Source organism: Homo sapiens, chromosome 3 (genome assembly GCF_000001405.40).
Source record: "Homo sapiens chromosome 3, GRCh38.p14 Primary Assembly".
NCBI classification, from domain to species: Eukaryota; Metazoa; Chordata; class Mammalia; order Primates; family Hominidae; genus Homo; species Homo sapiens.
The window spans coordinates 140939928-140962967 of record NC_000003.12 but is presented as its reverse complement, the minus strand read 5'-3'; the positions used below and the strand labels follow the sequence as shown (position 1 = coordinate 140962967).

Here is a 23040-nt window from a genome sequence, read left to right as displayed (position 1 = left end):
GAAGTACTTTCTGTATTGACTCATTAAAATAAGACAACATCAAATGTAAAATTCCTACCATTCATCCTCAAACAGACCCCCTTCCAATACTCTGACAGCCACTTAACTCACTAAAACTTGGTAACCAAGAAGATAAAAAGAAAAAATGAAATTAAAAAAAAATAAAAACAAAATAATAACTAATTTAAACAAAAAGTATTTAAGATTTTAATGTTTAGAAACTAAATGAATGAATAAGGCTGTAAGGCTGGTGTAATGCTAAGGCTAAATATAGTTACTGAAGATAAGTAGATATGGTATGAGCACTTAACATATAATTTTCTTCATGGGGAGAAGAGGGTGAAGCAGATCCAACTGATTAAAGTATATGCTAAACAATTTTAAGATACTGTGGTATATTCTAATTATACTACACACACAGTAATTCACATTATCCTTAAACAGACAAAACAATTCCAACAAAAGAAATCAGACCCATCAGGTCAGAATGTTTTCCAATGTTTGTAAACACTGAGTGAAATTTAATTATTTCCCTCATTGTTAACTTACTGACTACGATTTTATGCATCCCCACTACCACCTCTATGTTAACTTCCCATGCTTTGAATTATTTGCTTGCTGTATGAAATATCCAGTTATTTCCCCAAAAATCCTGATTACTCATCCAATAAGAAACAGAGTGACAAATACAAATGAGAATTTCACTGTTGTACCTTTTTTAATGTACTTAAGAAAAAAGGAAAATTAATATAACTGAAAATGAAACATTCTAATTTATGAGAAAGAAAAACATAAGATACACTTGATGCCAAGTTGGGAAGAGGAATAAACAATGCATTTCTAGAAACTGGTAAGAAAAAAAGAAATCCTAATGAGAAAATGGCCATGAAATATATATAGGCAATTCACAGGAGAGATATACAAATGACAAATTACAAGAAAGTATGACTGCACCAAAAATTAAATAAATCATATTAAAACAGTGAAAAATCCCTCTTAGTCCATTTGGTAAGTATTTAAAAAAGATGGACAGTAGCCAGCATTGGTAAGGCTATGGATAAGGGATAAAAATCCAGTATGCCTTTTTTTTTTTTTTTTTTTTTTTTTTTTTTGAGACGGAGCCTCGCTCTTTTGCCCAGGCCGGAGTGCAGTGGCCCTATATTGGCTCACTGCAAGCTCCGCCTCCCGGGTTCACGCCATTCTCCTGCCTCAGCCTCCTGAGCAGCTGGGACTACAGGCGACCGCCACCACACCCGGCTAATTTTTTTATATTTTTAGTAGAGATGGGGTTTCACTGTGTTAGCCAGGATGGTCTCGATCTCCTGACCTTGTGATCCACCCGCCTTGGCCTCCCAAAGTGCTGGGATTACAGGTGTGAGCCACTCTGCCCGGTCAATATTCACTAGTCTTAAATATGCATATGCCCTTTTATCCAGAAATTCTAATTTTAGGTGACCATCCTAAAAAAATATACTTCCTAAAGTATTCAAAGATAAAGGTTGAGGTATGTTTACTGAACCATTGTTTATACAATGAAAATCTAAAAATAATCTAAATGTATAATAAGGAAATGTTTATTAGTGCTAGAATGCTATACAATTTTAAAAAAATCACCCCACATATTATCATGGAAAAACTTCAGTTAGATTAGGTTAAACATTTAGTATTATTCAGTTTATGTAAAGCACAATAAAGTATACATGTTTTTATGTATATGATAACCGAGAAAAATTACTGGAAGAATATACATGAACTGTCTATTAATGGTGTTTTTTTTCTTTTAACTTGTTTTATAATTAGGATGCAATTTTGGATATTTTCTTAAAGAGAGAAAAGAACCCATAAAAAGTTGAAACGTAATAAATAACAAGACATGGATCTGGTACATGGTTTGGATACAGAAAGCATTTTCACTCTAAATATGAACTTTATACAGTGTTCTATCATGGAAGAGGTTAACAATCTAAGATGCAATGGTGTCAGAGAAAAATGACGAAGTTATGTTTTCATGTCCTTTTGGCTTAATAGGGACTGCAACCATTCTATCTGTTTGGTTTGTCCCATAAGCCAAACAATGACTTAGTTTTAAGAGTTCCAGATCTTCCCCTTTCTAACTGCTAGTTCCTTTGGTTGTTCCTTTAGTTATTAGTTCCTTTGCTTGTTCTCTGTCTTTTGACTTTTTTAAAAACTACTTCACAATGGTCTTACTATGTGGTCCTTTGCACCTACACATGGTGCCATGCCCATCCTTTTAGATGGTTACTGATACCTGTTTGTCACACCATAGTTCTTTATCCTTATCACCTTGACACCTCTTCAGCATCTTCCTTGAATAGCTTCCTTTTTATTATGGTAAAGGCCATGTACATCACTTACTGCCCTTCAACGATACACAAATTCTCAGGTTTTTAGACTTTTTGTCCCTTTCTTCAACCCTGTTCTAAGCCCTGACATCCTTCCTAGTCCTTTGGTTCTATTTTCTATCTTGTTTCTTTGAAGTTTAATTTCTATGTGGAAAGTGAGAAAGGAACACTAACTTCAGGTGGAGCGCACAGCAGGACAGCTATGAAAAGCAGAAAAAGTCGAGATATCCTAAATGCCTTTTGGCCCAAGGAAAATATTTTGTTTAAAAGAATGCTTACCTTTCTTAGAGTCAAAATTTTTCAAGATGCAAGAGCTGGTTTAGTTAAACTCACAAATCTAGCAAACACTTATCTCAAAATATCAGGAGTATTTTGCAGCCTTAGCCCTGTGTAGATTTTCAATTCTGCACCCCCAAATTCTTCTAACTCCTATGGTCAGATGAGAGGATAAGCATCTCCCCAGAAGACTCAATACACTGCCACTAGCTACGAGAGTATTTCCATTTATCCTGCAAATATTAGTAATTTTATATCTCCTAGTCTATGCAATATAAAGATATATAATATATTCATTATTTTCAACTTTGATTACAACATCTCCCCCAAAAAAATCTCAGGTCCATTTATAGAATTTTAACATTTAAAACTCTTATCTATAAATACACTGTTCCTTAAACTTCTAGGTATAATATGCGATACTTTATTATTTTCCCCCAGTATAAGACTATCAATAATTTAATGCAAATACTATACCTTCTCCCTCACATTATGAAACATAGCCTTTGTATTCATATTACTACTGTTAATTTCTAACAGCAATGAAATACTGTTAAGTCTTCAAAATATCCAGTATCATTTCCTACCACCAAACATTACTTTATTATATAAATTTGTTCTGGCTAGAATCTGAAATTCTTAAAAAGAAAATTAAGTATTTTAACTTCCCATAAACATTGAATACTACATTTATAAATTTAACTGTATCTATAAATGATTAAATCCAGGTGTGCTGAAACAAAAGAGATTGCCATAACTTGCTTTAAACAATTTTTTTTTTTTTTTACCTGGAAGGGGCTACCCCCACTAAATTGGGGCCTAGTCCTCTAAACAAGGAACGAGGCCCTTCTTTTTCCAAGATCACCCTGAAAGAGAGAAAAAAAATTCTATCAGAAATATCTTTCAAAGTCTGGTACTTTATTTACTTTGTATATAAAGTTAGAGTCTAAATCCAGTACATTTGTATTATGTTGTGCTTCTCTGGTGAGTTTTCCTTACTTATTAAAAATTTGTGGCCAGGCATGGTGGCTCATGCCTGTAATTTCAGCACTTTGGACACTGAGGCAGGCAGATTCCTTGAGGTCAGAAGTTCAAGACCAGCCTGGCCAACCTGGTAAAACCTCGTTGCTAATAAAAATAAAGAAATTAGCTGGGCATGGTGGTGCATGCCTGTAATCACAGCTACTCAGGAGGCTGAGGTAGGAGAATCGCTTGAATTTGGAAGGCGGAGATTGCAGTGAGCCAAGATTGCGCCACTGCACTCCAGCCTGGAGACAGAGCGAAACTCTGTCTCCAAAAAAAAAAAAAAGAAAAAGAAAACACACACACACACACACACACACACACACACACACACACACACACACAAAACATTGTTTTTTCATGACATAGCATAAATTGTTGAAGACTGATAATAGATTTACTAGTAATGATTAAAAAATCTGTTCAGATTCTTTCCTGAAAGATTAAGACACAATGATAAAGAGTTCTACATTATTTTCATATGATCATGCTACTCTTATCTTCGATTTCCTTAATTTTACTATCTTTACCAGCAAATTGAAAGCTTAATAACTACCCGCCAATTAGAAATGTAGTTCCTTCCTAGTTTTCAGGTCTTTTACTCAACATTGGACAATACTTCTTACTACTACAGTATTATCTCATCCCCATTCCATTGAAATGCTGTAGCAGAATCTATCACCCTAATGTCCTTTAAGGTACCAGAATGGTTGGCCTGTTATTTCTCCTGCCACTCAGTTAACCGTTGCTATACTGAGTATTTAACTGTATAATTAGCTGTTTATAACTAGAAAAAGTAAGTAGATAGAAAAAAGAAGGCGAGGCCCCTGACATTGGGAAATTTGCTGTTTTGTTTTGGTAAAAAGAATTGTAACAAAACAAATAAATTAACAGACCATATTAACAAGCAAATACTATACAACCTAGATACATATATGCCCAGCAGAGAAAGGAACAGAGCCATGTGTAAGTCACAGAAGACTTTCCTGGAGTAAGTTATGAAATGAAGTTTTGGCAGTGAGAAGGAATAGAAACTGAAGAGTAGGTATTTTAATTCAGAGTTAACAGACTAGGCCAAGTAGTTCTCAAACATCTATCTGCTTAAGAGGGATCTTTTTAAAGGTAGTTGGGTCTAATGGTTAATTTAAGGCCTGAACTGAGTAGCCAGACTTCTCAGATATGAAGCCCAACGTTGGTAATGGATAACCCTACGACCCTGAAATAACTTTACTCTCATACTCAGTTTCATCAGCAGTAAATAAAAAAAACCAGTACCCCTTTACTGGTTACTGTGAGGACTAAGTAAATTAATATATAAAGAGCTTAAAAGAGCGCCTGAAAAACTTCGGAACTAAAACACAGCCCAGAAGGATTACTAAAGCTCCTGTGAAGGGAAGGCAAAACTACTGAAAAAGAGAATTAAAAAGTATTATCACAGAGGTCAAAAGAAGAATTTTAAGGAGGGGCAATCTGTGGTAATAAATATCAAAATCATGATATTAAAATACTTTTCCTATTACAAATCAGATAGAAGTATTTATGTATAACTATAGCATTTTTTTTCTGAGACAGAGTCTCACTGTATCACCCAGACTGGAATACAGTGGCGCAATCTCGGCTCACTGCAACCTCTGCCTCCCAGGTTCAAGTGATTCTCCTGCCTCAGCCTCCTGAGTAGCTGGGATTACAGGTGCGCACCACCACACCTGGCTAATTTTGTATTTTTAGTACAGACGGGGTTTCACCATGTTGGCCAGGCTGGTCTCGAACTCCTGACCTCAGATGATCCACCCACCTCAGCCTCCCAAAGTGCTGGGATTATGGGCGTGAGCCACCACTTATGGCATTTTAATTCAAAACTGTTATCAATTTTATTCTACCTATTCATGTACTTATGTAAACAAGTTTGAAAAAAGAAAAGGCTGATGAAACCTTTTAGTAACAAAGGTAAATACACAGAATGAGTTTATTTGCTATTACAAAATAAACACTACTGAACTAAGTTCAAACACTGAGCTGATAAGGCAGACACGAAGGCATTCCATTATTTACAAGTATAAACATACGAAACCTAATTTTAATAGTTTTGAAATTTCAAATCCAATTGCAACATAATGAAGTATGGCAAACTGTAAAAACAAATCTTTTCCAAACCATCAGGAAATGTTAAACAAATACTGAACAGCATTAGAACTCTGCTGTCTCAGTTGTACTTAGGTTACATAAAAATCACAGATTATCATTAATTGGATGTACTTACTTGGAACATTAAAAATATACACGAAAGGAGTTAGCATTAAACATTATCACATTTCAAAAGTAAATGAATAATCCAAAATAAAATACTTATAATAGCTTTAGAAAAAACTCCACTGGATAAATGTAGAAATATTCTAAATACACATGATTTGGAAGTAAAATTACACTTTATCTTATCTGTCTAACTGTTCTTCTCCATTAGGGATTATCATTCCTTATGAGTACAATTCAGAGTAACTTCTGTAAATAGGTTTATAAAAAATCATTTTCAATGTGGCAGAATATAAGTAAACAAACATCTGGAACTCACTAACGCAAACAAACTAAAAAACACTCCTGAATACTATGCTCTCACTTTAGGCAATGAAGAGGTCCGGGAGACACTACTCGGTTGACACTGGCTCCAGCCATGGTGTTCAGCTGAACTTCAGAAATATAAAGCGTCACAGAAGATGACTGCAGTCGTGTTTTTACAACTTCCAGTGGACATGTCAGAATAGCTCCCACTGTACCACCACATCTAAAAAAAAAAAAAAAAAAGAACACAGCTTATCTACTTAATTCATAAGTTAGTATATATGCCCAGAGCTGTAATCCACATGGGTACCTGGAGCTTTGCCAACATACTAAAATTTATAATTTTTAATGTTAGATGACTAAACTGATTTTTAAGAGATTCCATTATTTGATTTCATACAAACTTCTTCAGTAACTAAAATGAACACAGCTTAGTAACTATCTGGCAAGAATAACTGCTAAACACTTCAACTGATAGGTGCTGTTACTAAAATTGTACTGGTAAGTCACATAATGGCTTTAAATACTGTCCTAAGGTTTGATTTAGTACTCATGTATATATATAACTTGTGGCTCTGTTAAAATCTAGGCCATTCTTTGAAGTATATCCTATCTTTCAAACTCCTGTCCTTTCAAACTGAAGAAATGGTCTTCTGAACAATAAGGAAGAACTCACTGATAGTTAACCATACATAGTTCTCTTATTTTAAATCCCCAAATATTCAGAAGTATTTCACCTACAAAAAAATACAGCATTTGAGGGCTGGGCGCATGGCTCACACATGTAATCCCAGAGCTTTGGGAGGAGACAAGAGGATGGTTTGAGGCCAGTTTGACATCAGCCTGGGCAACATAGCCAGACACCACTTTACAAAAAATTTGTTTAAAAAATTAGCCAGGTGTGGTGGGGCATGCATGTAGTCCTGGCTACTCGGGAGGCTGAGGTGGGAAAACTGTGTGAGCATAGGAGTTCAGGGCTACAGTGAATATGATCAGGCCACTGCACTCTAGCCTGGGCAACAGAGTGAGACCCTGTCTCAAAAAAGAAAAAAAATTGGCATTTGAGTCTCACAATTAATACCTGTCAGGCCTACACGTGGAAAACTGTACAATGTAGGTAGGCTTGTTAGAAGAATCCAACTTAAATAAAAGGACTGATCACCAGAACAATAATAACAAAAGCTCTTAATGACATTGAACTGTTTAAAAGGTATGTAAGATATAGGCTGAGTAATTATTATTTTCTTATTTTAAAATACAAGAGTAGAAAATAATTTCCTCTTAAAACATTAATAACTACCAAGTGAAGCCTTTAGAACTGCTTTCTAACCAAAAGGGAAAATCACTCAGAAAAGCTCTTAGTGCGGTGAAAGAGAAAAGCTAGTTGAGTCAGGTTAACGTGGACCTTCAAAATGGGCATTAAAAGAAGAAAAAGAAAAGCAACCCATGCAATAATACACTAAACAATTCTACCTCCACAATAAAAAAAACACACACACATATATATAAAGGAAAGCAGGCATGGCAATGTTAATATCACTCCGAATAGAATGTAAAAGAAATTTTAAAAGATAAAAATATGTCATATTGGTGTATTAGTATATGCCACAAAGAAAATAAGATAAAACCAAACTGTATGCAACTAGAGTGAAAAACTTATGCAACAAAACTATTAAAAAATAAAGAACATTATATGTAAAATAAAAAACATGCCCCTTACCTCACAGTACATTTTAAAATTAACTCGAAATGGATCACAGACCTAAGTTTAAAATGATGAAACTATAAAACATCTAGGAAAAAAACATCTGGAAAAAAATCTTTTAACTTTGCGTTAGGCACAGACTTCTTATATGGACATCAAAAGAAGCACAAATCATTAAAGAAAAAAACTGAAAAACTGGACCTTATCAAAACTAAAAACTTCTACTCTGAAAGAAACTGCTAACACAATGAAAGAAACTGAGAAGAAAATGAAAGCCATAGACTGAGAACAAATATTTACAAATCATTACCTGCAAAAGTGCTTACAGTCAGGAATAAAATCAAGTAATTCAGTAAGAGATTTAACAGATAGTGATACATAGACGCAAATAAACACACAGAATTCTGCAAATCATTTGTCATCAGGGAAATGCAAAGTAGATCCATTATAAGATACTACTGCCCATCTATTAAATGGCTAGAATTAAAAAGACTGACCAACAAACAGCCAACCGCTGAACTGGAAATCTCTTACACTGCTGGTGGGAATTAAAAATGGTACAGGCATTTTAGAAAGCAGTTTGTCAGTTTCTTACAGAGTTAAACATAACACTGCCACACAGCCCTATCTCACTTGTAGGTACTGACCCAAGAGAAATGAACAGACATGTCCACAGAAAGACTTGTTCATGAATGTTTATAATAGCTATACTTATTCATAGCTAAAAACTGGGAACAACCCAAATGTCCATCAACTAGTGGAAGCAAACTGTGGTACAACTATATAATAGAATACTATTCTGCAGTAAAAAGCCACCACCTGGGTAAATCTCAAAAGCATTATGCTAATTGAAAAAGCTAAGCACAAAAGGCTTTTATTTTTGACGTTAAAAAAATTATCCCCCTCGTTAAGCAAACACTTTTATGATATTCTAGAAAAGGCAAAATGAGAGGAACAGAAATGAGATCAGTGGTTTCCAAGGGGTAGAGGAGAGGGAAGAAAGTGACTTCAAGGGGTGTGGGGGAATTCTTGGAATAACAAAAACTGTTCAATATCCCTTTTCTTTTTTTCTTTTGAGATAGTGTCTTGCTCTGTCACCAAGGCTGGAGTGCAGTGGCACGATCATAGCTCACTGTAGCCTTGAACTCCTGGGTTCAAACAGTCCTCCTGCTTCAGCCTCCCTAGCAGCTGGGACTACAGGCACATGCCACCATGCACAGCTAAATTTTTTAAATTTTTTAAAATTTTTTTGTTGAGACAGGGTCTTGCTATGTTGCACAAACTGGTCTTGAACTCCTAGCCTCAAGGAATCCTCCCACTTCAGGCTTCCAAAGTACGGGGATTATAAGCATGAACCACTAGGCCCAGCCAATATCCTGACTATGGTAGTGTTTAAATGACTTTATACATCTGCCAAAAGTCAATAAACAGCATACATTTAACAAAGGGTAGATTTTACTGTATGTAAACGATACCTTGACAAATCTGATTTGAAAAATATGTGAAAACCAGTAAGAATTCTTAATATATGAACTACTTGGGGCTGAATATATTATGTGAAACATTCAATCATAAATAAGCTTAACACTTCAAAAAAATTCCACTCATAGCTTTAAATAGGCAGTTGAAAAAATTTAACCCCCCCCCCAAAAAATGTCGAAACCACAATTATACGGTCAGATTTCAACAAAATTAGACAAAAAGTAGTAGGATTATAGCAAATCTGAAACAAAATTAAGTAGAACTTAGAAACCTCAATACTCAATAAACAAGGAAAAGATATTTTCAAACAGCCATGAAATAGTCTTAAAACCTCATTATATATGAGGCCACAAGAGGAATCTTAAATAGAAGCCATAAATTTACTTAGATAAGAGTTGAGAGCTAAGTGGTAAAAGACATGAGTCATCATCACACAGTATACTTGGAGTATATGCAATGTAGGACTCAGAAGAACCTGTGGGTTAGTCCATACCATATTCACACTATAACAGTGATCTATTTATGGCAAACCATAATTCAATTTGTCTTTGCCTGATTTCTTTTTAGCAGTTTAGTGTATTTACTTTGTAAATTTATTGAACATAAAACCCACAAACAGGCCCAAAATCTATAATAAACATGTACATGTTTTGATTTTATATTCTGTAAAACCTAAGAAAGAGTATTCTTGAATATGAATAACTTCTAAAAAATGTATTCAATGAACATGAATTACTTCTATAATTAAAACGAAAACAAACAAAAAGCAACATGAGCACATAAAGCCATGATTCCTACCCAGTCATTCCTGGTTCCAAGAAAATAAATATTATACAACGAAAACAAAACAACAATGGTAAAAACAATACCTATGCCTCACACGCTTGTTGTAAAGATGATATAATATAATCCACATAAAGCATTTTGTAAAGTGGCACATAAAAAGTGCTCAATAAATATTAGCTATGTAGTTATGTGTCTCCATTACTGATAATGGTAACTATGAAATTTTGTAATAGAAGTCTTATGAATATTTTGTGGCCAGACCAACAGACAAGGTAAATACTATGATATTTAAAAAACACTTCAGCAAGTAAAACACATGAGAATCTAAACTGGCCAGGCATGGTGGCTGATGCCTGTAATCCCTTTCAGAGGCTGAGGTGGTAACATCACTTGAGTCCAGGAGTTTGAAACCAGCCTAAGCAACACAGTGACTCTGTCTCTGAAAAAAAGAAAGAAAGAGGCCGGGCGTTGTGGCTCACTTCTGTAATCCTAGCACTTTGGGAGGCTAAGGCAGGTGGATCACCTGAGATCAGGAATTCGAGCCCAGCCTGGCAAACATGATAAAACCCCGTCTCTACTGATAATACAAAAAATTAGCTGGGCCTGGTGGTGCATGCCTGTAATCCCAGCTACTCCGGAGGCTGAGGCAGTAGAATCGCTTCAACCCAGGAGGCAGAGGTTGCAGTGAGCCGAGATTGTGCCACTGCACTCCAGCCTGGGCAACAAGAGTGAAACTCCATCGCAAAAAAAAAAAAAAGAGAGAAAGAAAGGAAAAAACAGCCAGGTGCAGTGGCACATGCCTGTAATCCCAGCTACTTGGGAGGTCAAGGTAAGAGGATCACTTAAACCTGGGAGGTCAAGGCTTTAGTGAGCTGTGATTGCACTATCACACTCCAGCCTAGGCCAAAGAGTGAGACCCTGTCTCAAAACAATGACAACAACAACAACAACAAAACAAAATTAAAAAACAACAAAAAAATAAGGCCAGGCGTGGTGGCTCACACCTGTAAACCTAGGACTTTGGGAGACCGAGGAAGCCGGATCATTTGAGTTCGGGAGTTCAAGACCAGCCTGGCCAACATGGTGAAACACCACCTCTACTGAAAATACACACACACACACAAAATTAGCCAGGCGTGGTGGTGCACGCCTGTAATCTTAGCTACTCGGGAGTCTGAGGTGGGAGGACTGTTTGAACCTGGGAGGCGGAGGTTGCAGTGAGCCGAGATTGTGCCAGTGCACACTCCAGCCTGGGTGACAGAGCGAGACTCCATCTCAAAAAATAAATAAATAAGTAAATCGTACAGAGGTGGGGGTGGCATAAGTGGGTATATGCACAAGCACTTAGGTTGTCCTGAAGCAGTTTTACATTATAGAATGCAACAGATGTGTAGTATAGGGGTGACACTCTGGTATTTCTCTTGCTGCAATTTAAAAATAATTATTATGCACACTGAAATCAGAATTGATGTAGAGAACAAAACTATTGCTTCAATAAAGTTGGGATGAACTACATTAGATTTATCTTTTCTCCATGTCAAAAATCTCACTGTCTAAAGGAATATGCCAGAAGAACAGAGAGGCCCAGAGAAATCGGCAGCTGCAAGTTTTCAACCAATGAGGCAAATGGGAAAGACAACTTAGTAAAGAGGAAGAAAGGCTTGCAGAGGGAAATACCAAAAAGCAGCAGTTTTTCCCTGCAGAATCCCTAGGAGGCCTAATGATTAGGGCACCAAGTATTCAAGAGGGAATTAAGGCAAAGAACTGAAAACAGGACTGGCTGCTGTCACAGTCTGTATGACAAAGGTAGGATGCCCAGTGTTGCTCTATGCCTTACACACACACACACACACACACAGACACACAGACACACACAGAGACACACACACACACGCTGGATAAAACTACATTCCTAGGCAGAAGGTTAATTCTCTGAAGAATACAAACTCAACATTTCTGAACTTAGGTTTAGCAGGAACAAAGGATGCAAAAACAATCCACACCAAGATGCGCTACTGCAATCTTTCAAGGACTTCAACTTCCAGAAAGAAAAAAGGTCACATAATAGAGGAAAAGTGACCAGATTAGCATCATACTTCTCGACAACTGCAGATTACTTATCCTAAAATTCTATACCAAACCAAACTATACATCTGGGACAAAGAAGTATTCAAGAAATTGCCTACTGTATACCCTTTTCTTACATAGCTAACTAAAAAATGTATTCCACAAATTAAGAAAGTAAACTAAAAGAAGATGGTGGTAGGGAGGGAACCAAATGCAGGAACAGAATAACCCAAGACAGAAGTCCCAAGATGATAGTGAAATGGCAGACCTGAAAAAAAACCAATCAAGATAGGATTAGGATGACAGAATTCAGTGGGACAAAAGTCTCCAGGAAAAAAGACTGACAGATGAACACAGCTGACCATATGAAAACAAATGTTCAAGTATGAGTACTCACATAACTAAGCAAAAGTTTTTTAATGGAGGCAATTATTAACTTCAGGGGCAGTGGGGGGTGGGGGCGGGGAGGAATGAAGTTATTCAAGAAAGGAAAGGTCAACATAATAGACAACTTAAACTTAGCTCTGCAGTGAACAATATTTGTATTGTCACAATAAGGTAAGCACTGACTTTTGATTTTTAACAAAAACTGTTATCAAATTATATATTGAGAGGATGTAAAGAAAAAGGAAACAAGAGAGTGGTACAATATAACTAAATCCTCATCTACCAGAACAGAAAGATGATGTATAATATATTAATTTGAAAACCAAGAAAAAGCAAGAGAAAAAAATGGTGGAGTAGAAGCAGGCACTCATTACTGGTCTTACTTCCCTCTGATCCAGTGATGTGGATGACATCAGTTGCAAGGTGTGGCTAATGTAATTTGCTATTAAATAACATAGTTCAAGGTTGGATGCTTTACTATTTTTAAAAAGTTACAATTCAAAGTTATTTCTATAAAACAGTCACTGGTTTGTTCTGTGTGCTTTCTTGATTGGCAAAGAATTCCAAAGACAGAATAGCCAAGTCTGTAACAGAAGGGTGTAAGTTCATTACTTTGTAACATCAAAAATTCAGAAAGGAGAGTTTCTTGGTTACGAATCTAACAACACTGTTAAATGTCACTATACCCCTGGTATACCCAGATTAGAAATAACTACATGTTCTTTATGTTCGTAGTGAAACCACCTAGATTGACACTCATTTAAAGTTTTATAGGCAAATGTCCTATATCTTAAAAGATACGAGAAGGCCAAGATCGCTTGGTGAGTCAAATAATCACATAGCTATGTATTGATCTTATAGAATATTTAAAATTGTTTAATATGGTATCACTAAAGCATTTTATAAGACATTTAAAACTATTTTAATGATGTTTGCCAAATTGTACAGTAAGTTTATCAAGTCATCTCGGTAATTTACTGGAATGTGGACACATCTCTAGCCTATGGTAATACTGCAGATGCTAATAAAGCCAAACTTTTTAGAGTTTAACTGTCTAAGAACTTTCAAATGTTGCTTCTACTTAGTGCATATAATGAAGATAAAAATTCTAGCATGCCAGGGGGTCTAGCTACCTTAAGGGCCTTTATGGACCTCTTGAGTAAAGAAGTGGCAAAAAGATAGTGTTTTTTTGTTTTTGAAGCTAGGCACAGTGTAACCAAAACTGGTTTAAAAAACAAAACAAATAAAACAACCCTGTGCAAACAAGTTTTGTAAGAAAGAGCAAGGCCTCTGTTGGGAGCCTCAAAGTGCTCTCCCACACTAGTTATTGAAGCACGGGAATCAAAAGTTGAGGGTGGGGAGATGGGAGAGAAAGGAGAAAGAGAAATTGTTCACTAAGTGAATATGAATAGCAGATGAATTTCAGCCATCATACCCAGTCATGAATCCCTAAGACAGGTACATAGACATAAAACCCCATTGACTGGATAGTCCTAAGCTGCTGAACCACTAGATCTGGCTCCCCCAGCTTTAAAAGGACTGGAAAAAATCCAAGGCACTGTTAGATATATGTCCTCAATATTAACCTCTTGAGCGTGTATGGATCAGGAAACTTGTTTTTAACAGGCAAGGTAACAGATAGATGAACAAAATATTTTCTGATGAGGTCAACAATATTTGTATGTGCATATTATTTAAAAAGGTACTTCAGAATTCATTTTATTAACTTTAAGCAGTGTTTAGCTTTATAAAGCAAGATGAAAAGGATAAAATATTTTATTTTTCTGCCTACAGTGATACTCTACTTAGGGCATTAGTTACATTAAGAAATATCAATCACTGGCCGGGCACGGTGGCTCACGCTTGTAATCCCAGCACTTTGGGAGGCCGAGGTGGGCAGATCATGAGGTCAGGAGATGGAGACCAACCTGGCTAACGCAGTGAAATCCCATCTCTACTAAAAATTGTAAAAAAGAAAAAAAAAAGAAATATCAATCACTAAAGATGAAGTTTCTTTAAAATGCTAGCCAAACTTAAAGAGTTTTTCAATCTTAAAACATGTAGACTGGGCTGGGCGTGGTAGCTCAGGCCTGTAATTCCAGCACTTTGGGAGGCCAAGGTGGGTGGATCGCCTGAGGTCAGGAGCTCAAGACCAGCCTGACCAACATGGTGAAATCCTGTCTCTACTAAAAGTACAAAAAATTACCTGGGTGTGGTGGCAGGCACCTGTAATCCCAGCTACTTGGGAGGCTGAGGCAAGAGAATTGCTTGAACCTAGGAGGTGGAGGTTGCAGTGAGCCGAGATCGTGCCACTGCACTCCAGCCTGGGCAACAAGAGTGAAACTCCATCTCAAAAAATAATAATAATTAAAAAAACCACGTAGACTCTCCCTGAAATTCTATACAAATCATTAAGGAAGTCTTACCAAAAATTGTTTCTCTGGTAGTACACTTGTATAACTATTTTCTCTGAAGCTTTAGTGTTTAGACAAGAAGCAATACAAGTTTTTGAAATGGTGATGGACATCTATATACCTGATAGACCAACTTAGGAAAAGTCAGCAATGCGTGCTTGAGAATAACACAGCATTTTTTTAAGTATAGGAAGTGTTTCTGATGCAGGAAAAAATTAACACGTTATTCTTATTGTGGATGATAAAGCAAAATCAAGACTAGTAATACAGAAAATTTTAGCCAACTTAGATAAACATGGAAGCAAGCCGTATCATACAGCCCAAGATGCAGTTGTAGAGTCTTTACTATTTAGAGTGTTTTTTGGTTTTCGTAAAGCTAGGCACAGTGTAACCAAGACTGGTTTAAACAAACAAAAACTAAAATCTCTGTGCAAATAGGTCTTGTAAGAAAGAAAAAGGCCTTTGTTGGGAGCTTCAAAGTGCTTACTATTTTAAGGAAAAATAGTAAGATACGAGACTGAGAAATAAAAAAAATCCATTATAGGAACAAAATAGGCTGAGGGAATGTGGCAGGTTTAGTAAAAGTAAATTTCCCCCTTTCGTTGCTACCCTTTACAGCAAACCTTAAAACTGTCTATTTGTTGTCTCTAATTTCTCTCCTACTCCAACCAGACTTTTACTCCCCTGCCCTGGAAATTACTAAAAGTCACCAAAGTTCCTCAATTAAATTCAGTGGTTAACAGCTTTCAGACATCTTAAATGACAGTAACATTTGATAGTTGATCACTTACTCCTTTCTAGATCTTGTATATTTGCTCCATTTGGATTTCAGGATACCGTATTTTTTTGGTCACTATGAAGTGTACTTGGCTGGTTCCTCCTCTTCTCCTCATTCCTCTTCTCTTGATCTCTTTTATTGAAGTCCCCAGAGGGTAGGTAGCTCGTGGTCCCTTCTTCTCTATATTCACTCCCTTAGTGATCTCAACTAGGCTCATGGCACCACTTATGTTCCAATGACTACTAAATATATATCCCTAGTCCAATCCTCTTTCCTGGACTCCAGGCTAGTAATCCAATCACTTAAACAATCAGCTTCTTGACCTCTCTACTTCTCAAACTTACCATGTCTAAAATGGAGCTTCTGATCTCCCCTCACCCCAACTCTGTTCCATCTGCAATCTTGCCCATCTCAGTTGACAGCAATTCCACCCTTCCAGGTGCCCAAACTAAAAACCCTGGAGTTATTCTTCGCTCTTCTTCTACACTCTGCATTCAATATGTCAAAAATCTTATTATCTTTACCTTCGAAGTCTAACTAGAATTCAACCACTTCTCACAATGTCCATTGCTTCCAACCTAGTCTGAATCACCATTATCAGTCAAGTGGATTATTGAAATAGCCTGATCAACTCCCTACTTCTGCCCCTGTCCCACGCATAGTCTAGCAGAGACCAATTAGCCTTTAAAAATTCTATGACTCCTCCCATTTCAATAGAAAAGGTCAAAGTCCTTTAAAGGCTTAAGAAGGCTCTATCATTCTGGCCATACCTGCTTCATTATCTCACTCTTACCAGGGCTAGGGTCTTACTGGGGCTAGTTCCTTTTGTATAGCTAATTCTCTCCCTTCCAAGTCTTTACTCAAATGTCATCTCAGTAAGATTCATCATCATTCGATTTAGTACTAGAGTGCACTCCTACCACAGTCCTTTAAGGTGCACCATTTTTTTTCCCACAGCACTTAATGCCTTCTAGTTAATGATAACAATTACTAGACAAGACAGTCCCTTGTCTTGCTGTCCGGTTGTCGATATTCTTCAATACTATATTACAACCAGACAAGTGGTAGGTTCTTAAAGGTTAGCTGAAATGTAGAATCTGAACTATACCAGTAAACTTTTCATACTGTTATATTAAAATCCACTGGTCTATTTTAAAATCTGAATGACTTTTTTACCCATGGCTGACTCCATGAAAAAAAGAAGCTAGTGTAGCCTGCAATTGAAACAACGCAGAACCACACTTCGGCATACAGTTACTTCATGTCTATTTCCCATTTTGTCACACAAAATATTAAATATAGAGGTATTCAAAGGTTGTGATTTAATAAAATTAGTATTTTTACTCCTTCATGAGCATTCTTAGGTTAAACTGGCTTTTTTTTTTTTTTTTAATTGCAAGTACCTGGAGGTGAATACGATGACTACAGTCTGGTGCCACTGCCTTCATGCATGCTAAGGCATCAGCAGTTTTACCCATCATTGCTTTTGCACCATCAGGACAAATGTCAACAAATTTGTGCCAATAATGTATTTTTATGAAAATAGTTTTAAACTCTCAGACCACAACAAGGGTCTCAAGAAGGAGAATCCCTGACCCACAATGTTGTGCTACACTAATCCATTTGCAGAAAAATGGTAGCTGCTGTGCTACAGTAATTCATTTATAGAAAAATGATTTGAGAATATTCTCCAACAGGATAAGAAACTTCCCTTAGTTTTGCAGTCTATTAGTAAGAAGAACGGAATGCATTTTTAGAAGGAAAAAAAGGGAAGGAGGATGTCTGAATGTTTGTCTCCCCCAAAACTAGTAAGATGAAATCCTACTCACATCCCAAGGTGATAGTATTAGGAGGTAGACGCTTTCAAGGTGATTAGGTCATGAGATTGTAGCCCTGACATTTGGGATTAGTACCTTTATAAGACACCAGAGATCTTGGCTAGCCTCTCCTACTACGTGAGGATACAGCAAGAGAGTATCTTCTATGAGGAAGTAGACCATCATCAAAAAACCTGTTACTGCTTTAATTTTGAACTTCCCAGCCTTCAGGACTGTTAGAAATATTTGTTATTTATAAGCCACCAGTTTTTGGTATTTTGTAATAGCAGCTTAAACAGAGCAAGACAGAGGAAAAGGAGAGGTAGTAAAAATTAAGGAAATGAGACTAATAAAAATATGGTCAGAGTGAAGCGGAAATAAATCACATTAATTATACTTTTAAGTATTCTACTTCTGCCCTGATCTTCAAGCAAACAGGTGAAATAATTTAACAAATATCGTTCATTATACCCAAATGGGAATTTCCTACTGAATAAATAATAATGATTGAGCAAATGAATGAGCTCCAGGATATAAAAATAGACAGTTCTTAGATCATCTTTGATTTTACTCACTACATATATTAAATTATCTGTCATAAGAGCTGCAAAGAAAATACTTCATCCACTTAAAATCTTAAGGTATATAGCTCCTATTTGAGACAATATCTCCCTCAAATAGAAAAAAAATGAGCTGCCTCTGTAGATATATGCAGCTGATACAATAACTAGACAATGTACAATTCTATCAGTCTTTAAAAATACATTTAATAGTGCTTTCATCTCTATATACATACATTAGAGGTACAGCTAAAATTAAATCACATTTACACCTTTTTTACAGGCTGTCATGATATCGTTCCTTAACTCAATTAACCTAACTACTGACCTTACAAACTCTGAATATTAACTCTGGCAAAAGCATAATGGGATCAAAGGGTGTCTTAAAGAAAGCACGAGTTATGCATGTGAGTATTTCACCCAGAACCAAGGTCCAGTGCTGGTGTTTAACAATACAGCTACTAGGCTATTAGAAATGTGGGATTCCGATAAACATATTTGAATATTACAATTCTACTTATCAGAAAAACAACTTAAAGGCTCCATATTCGGAAAACCCTTGCCTAAGATTAAATACTCTGTGAAAGGTTACTCTTGGTTCTTTTAAAATATACTGGGCTTCCTTTAAAAAGATAAGGTGTGTTTTACTGAACTCACTTATGTAACCACATATAAAAATAAAATCAAGATGAGATGCAAAGGAAGAGAAATTATACGGCTGAGCACCTATCTTGTATCAAATCCTACATACCATATCTCATTTAATACTCTAACTACATATGCTAGACTGGGGGGGAGGGGATGGAGCTCCTAATCTGTGTGTTTAGATGCTACAAACACCTCCCATTCCTGTTCTTAAACCAGAAAACCTATATTTACATGTTTTTATAACAAAATGATGATCCTAATCCAAAGTGGGAAATTAGTGCAATCAAGCTAACATTTATTTCAAATATAAGTATGCCCCATTTTTAACTAAACTTGATACATGAATCCTGAACGCAGAATAATAGAAATGTTAGGAGCTAGAGAAGGGCTTTAGAGATCATATAATACAACCTCCTAATTTTATAGATGAAGCAATTGAAATAAAAGTGTCCATTTTTCACCCAAATTAAAATAGTGCTAGACTACATCTGCGGTCTCCTCACTTCAGGGTTATAGATCTAATTACAAGAGGGAGCTCAATTATTTGCATGAGATCTTTTCAAGAGCATCTACATAGCTACAGAATTTTTTTAAAAAGATTTAATTTGCCTGATTATTGGCAGTAAACATTTCAGAAATATGGAAAGCAAACTGCCTAAACTGGGTCTCACAGATCAATAGAAAAATATTGTTTTTATGCCAGAACAGTGGCCGGCCCATAATTGGTGTACAACAAATATTTGTTGATGAAAGTGTGCCAACCTAAAGAAAGTATTGCCATCACTGGCTCAATAGAGTCCATATGTCCAACTCAAAGCAAGGCACCGTGAATAGAACTGCGTGTGTATTTCTTTCATATTCTTAAAAGTCGATCTAAAAACTGCAGGATTTAAGAAGATGCCGGTAAGAGTCTCAGCATAATTCACCGAAGGCATTTTTGATAAGAAAACTCTTTATAATCCTCCAAATAAGTAACTCTTAAAATTGCTATGATTCTCCAAATGATTTAGAAGGAGCAAATCTAAACAGGAGGCTAAACTGGAAGCTCTAACACTCATTTTGGCAATCAGGGAACTAAGACTTTAGGCTTAGTCCTAATCTTGCACACACATAGTAACTATTAACACTATCTTCAAAAAATCTGACCTCTCTCCACTCCTACTTTCTCCTAAGCAGCAGAAAAGCAAGCGGTGTTCAAGAGGGGTGGTTTTCTCGAAAGGAATCTGACCCCAAAGGTACTGGAAAGCTTTGCACCCCATTCACCACCTGGAAAACCTCGGGCAAGAAATTTTCCAAGGGCTAGAAACACCCTACAGCAACCACGGGAGAATACCAAAGCCTTCCCCGCTCGATCCCGTAGCCCCCTTACCACCCACCTTGCAAAGCCGAGCCCGGAAATGAGCGGCCCGAGGTCCGAGGTGGGGCGTGAGTGACGTGCAGAGGCCCAAGCGAGCGCTGCAAGGAGCGAGGGCTAAAGGAGTCTCCGGCGCCCATTTTGTCCTCAGCCTCCGCACTTTCCGCCCCGTCCCCTTGGGCCATGCAACCTACGCGAAATCCGAAGCCAGGCTCCTCAAAGCGGCCCTGGATCCCCGACGCCTGCTAGATTGCGGCGTGCGGCCAGGTCCAGCGGCGTCCGGGTAATCAAGCGCCGACCCCAGCTCTTGCCCGCGTCTCCTCAGACGCATGGATTCGGCCTCCGCCTCACCCCGGCCCCGCGGGCCCAAAACCTCACTCCCGGCCCGGGTTTCATGCCTCAACCCTCTTTGCCCGGGCCTCACTCTCTCGCCCTCGGGCCCGGGCCTCACCCCCTTGCTTCCCCGAACCGGAGCCCCCCTCACCACCCACGGGCTGGGTCGCTCCCCTCACCCGCAGGCCCGTGGCAGCTCCCCGCCCAGGCCTCACTCCCGCCCCCCCACCCCCCCACCCCCCTCGGCCCCCCTCGCCCCCCTCGCCTGCGTCTTCGGCCCCAGCACCCTCAGCCCCAGTGCGCACGCCCCGCCAGGACCTTACCCTCCGGCAAACAGATGCACCAGCGTGTCCCTCTGGCTCATTCTCTCTCCCGCATGTCCTCCGGCCGCTGAGGCGGGACGCGGATCTGGCCGCCCGCTACGGCAGGCGGCTTCGGTCCCGGACTGGAGACGCACAGCGCCCCGGGGACGGCGAGGAGAGCTGGCCGAGATGCGGCTGCAGAAAGCAACCGGCACAGCCCTCCCCGCGGCACTCCAGCCGCGCCACCGCCTGCCTAAGCGCGCCGCCCTTCACCAGAGGCTGAAAGCGACGCAGCGCAGCGCGACGGAGAGTGGGCGGGGGATGGTAGGGGGAAGATGACTATTTGATGGCTCCCGACATAAACAGAGGCTCCCATTGGTGTGAGCGTCGTGACGTCACGCACTCTGCAGTGTTCTTTCACGTGATCCCTACGGGCTCTTTCAATGAAAGGGGCCGCGAGGCGTGGCCAGAACGCGTGCCCGGAGGGTGGTAGGTCACCGCGCTCCTAGCACCTGAGACCTGGGGCGCCCCTGGCCTGAGTGAACGCGCCAATCACGGCTGCACTCTCCTGAACAGGGAACTGGCGGGGCGGGAAAAATCGACTTGGTTCCGGGTTCGCAAGCGGATTTACTTTGAAAAAATTGGATTTATGACCCAGCAGTTCCCTTGGTGTCTATCTCAGAGTAACCCTCGCACAATGCATAAAAAGGTTTGTGCACGGATACTCCTATATAGGCTCACAAACAGTACAGAATTATGAACAATGCTTGCAGTTGCAGAAAATTGAAATCAGTGGGGGAATGAAGAAATAAATCATGAAACATTCCTACTATGGAATATTATGCAATCGTGACAAGGGATGAGGTGATTCCATATGGCAAAAAATCTCCCGAAGTGTGTAATAAGTAAAAAAGGCAAGTAGAATTAAAATACTTGGGTTTGTTTTTAAAAGAATAAAAGTTCATGGGAAATGGAATTAAAAGATAAAATTTAAAAATATAAACTTTGTTTTTCAACGTAAGCTCCATCAAGTTAAAGACAGTTTGGTAAGTGATGATACCGGCTCTTTAGTCCATCTGTAAAGAATTGAGGGTTCTGGGAATTTAATCATGAAAATGCAGGCTTTTTTACGTTATTAACTGAAGAAAAATGGGTGCCATTTACAGATTTTTCACGATTAGAAAACAAAAATATGTCAGAAGGAGCCAGGTCAGGAATGTAAGATGGATACCTGATAGTTTCCCATCGAAATCCCTGGAAAAATGCCCTTATTTAAAGAGAGGAATGAGCAGGAACATTGTCCTGATGGAGAAGGACTCTCTGGTGAAGATTTCGTAGGTGTTTTTATGCTAAAGCTTTGCTTCACTTTCTCCTATAGTAAGCGGATGTTATTGCTCTTCCACCCTCCAGAAAGTCAACAGGCAAAATACCTTGAGCATCCCAAAAAGCTGCTGCTATGACTTCGGCTCTTGACCAGTCTACTTTTGATTTGACTGGACCACTTGCACCTCTTGGTAACTATTGCTTTGATCCAGAATCATACTGAGAAAGCTATGTTTGATCTCCTGTTACAATTCTTCAAAGAAATGTTTCAATATATGATCCCACTTGTTTACAATTTCCATTGAAAGCCCTGCTCTTGTCTGCAGCTCATCTGGGTGCAACAGTTTTGCACCCATCGGGTGAAAAGTTTGCTCAACTTCAGTTTTTCAGTGAGAAATGTGTAAGTAGAACCAGTTGAAATGTCTATGGTGTTGTATATTATTTGTGCTGTTAATTGTGGGTCCTCTTCAATTAGGGCACACCGAAGAATAATCTTTTCCTCAAAAATCGATGTGGATTGTCTGCCACTGCAGGCTTCCTCTTCAACATTGTCTCATCCCTTCTGCAAACAAGTTATCCATTTGTAAACTTCAGATTTCTTTGGGGGAATTTTCCCCATCAAACTTTTGTAAAGCATCCTTGATTTCACCATTCTTCCACCCAATCTTGACCATAAATTTGATGTTTTTTCTTGCTTCAATTCATGCTGCTCTGATAGGGGCTGTTTTCAAGCTGATGTCTTATCCTTTTTAGTGCCTCAAACTAGATCTTGTTCAGATACATTATAACAAGTGAGTACGAATTTTTGGTGCAAAAAAGTTTGAAATTCATACATAGTTTTTTTTTTAGTTAGGAAAAATGTTTAT

At 38.2% G+C, this 23040-nt stretch overlaps 1 protein-coding gene across 9 annotated transcripts in view, besides 3 other annotated features; it reads right to left on the bottom strand.

Moving 5' to 3' along the window:
* SLC25A36 (solute carrier family 25 member 36) overlaps positions 1-21132 on the bottom strand; it is a 39160-nt gene extending 18028 nt beyond the window's left edge. For 6 of the 9 annotated variants that reach the window (XR_007095699.1, XR_007095700.1, XR_007095701.1 and 3 more), the window contains exons 1-3: positions 20411-20721; positions 6277-6441; positions 3428-3505 (exon numbers count right to left, since the gene is read on the bottom strand). Coding sequence is in view for 3 of the 9 variants with exons in the window: in XM_047448440.1 (XP_047304396.1) it covers positions 3428-3505; positions 6277-6441; positions 20411-20547 (380 nt within the window). In the remaining 6 variants the exon portion in view is untranslated. Of the gene's footprint in view, positions 1-3427; positions 3506-6276; positions 6442-20410; positions 20781-20872 lie in introns of those variants that run through there. The other 3 variants (NM_001104647.3, NM_018155.3, XM_047448440.1) reach the window with 2 other exon arrangements.
* Positions 19848-20695: an enhancer, noted in NCBI's record as "H3K27ac hESC enhancer chr3:140661115-140661962 (GRCh37/hg19 assembly coordinates)". NCBI's record gives its function as "activates a minimal SCP1, AML or CMV promoter by ChIP-STARR-seq in naive H9 embryonic stem cells {active_cell/tissue: H9 hESC(naive)}" and the evidence as "EXISTENCE:reporter gene assay evidence [ECO:0000049][PMID:30033119]".
* Positions 19979-20208: an enhancer, noted in NCBI's record as "active region_20621". NCBI's record gives its function as "activates an Ori minimal core promoter by ATAC-STARR-seq in GM12878 lymphoblastoid cells {active_cell/tissue: GM12878}" and the evidence as "EXISTENCE:reporter gene assay evidence [ECO:0000049][PMID:35858748]".
* Positions 20789-21158: an enhancer, noted in NCBI's record as "active region_20620". NCBI's record gives its function as "activates an Ori minimal core promoter by ATAC-STARR-seq in GM12878 lymphoblastoid cells {active_cell/tissue: GM12878}" and the evidence as "EXISTENCE:reporter gene assay evidence [ECO:0000049][PMID:35858748]".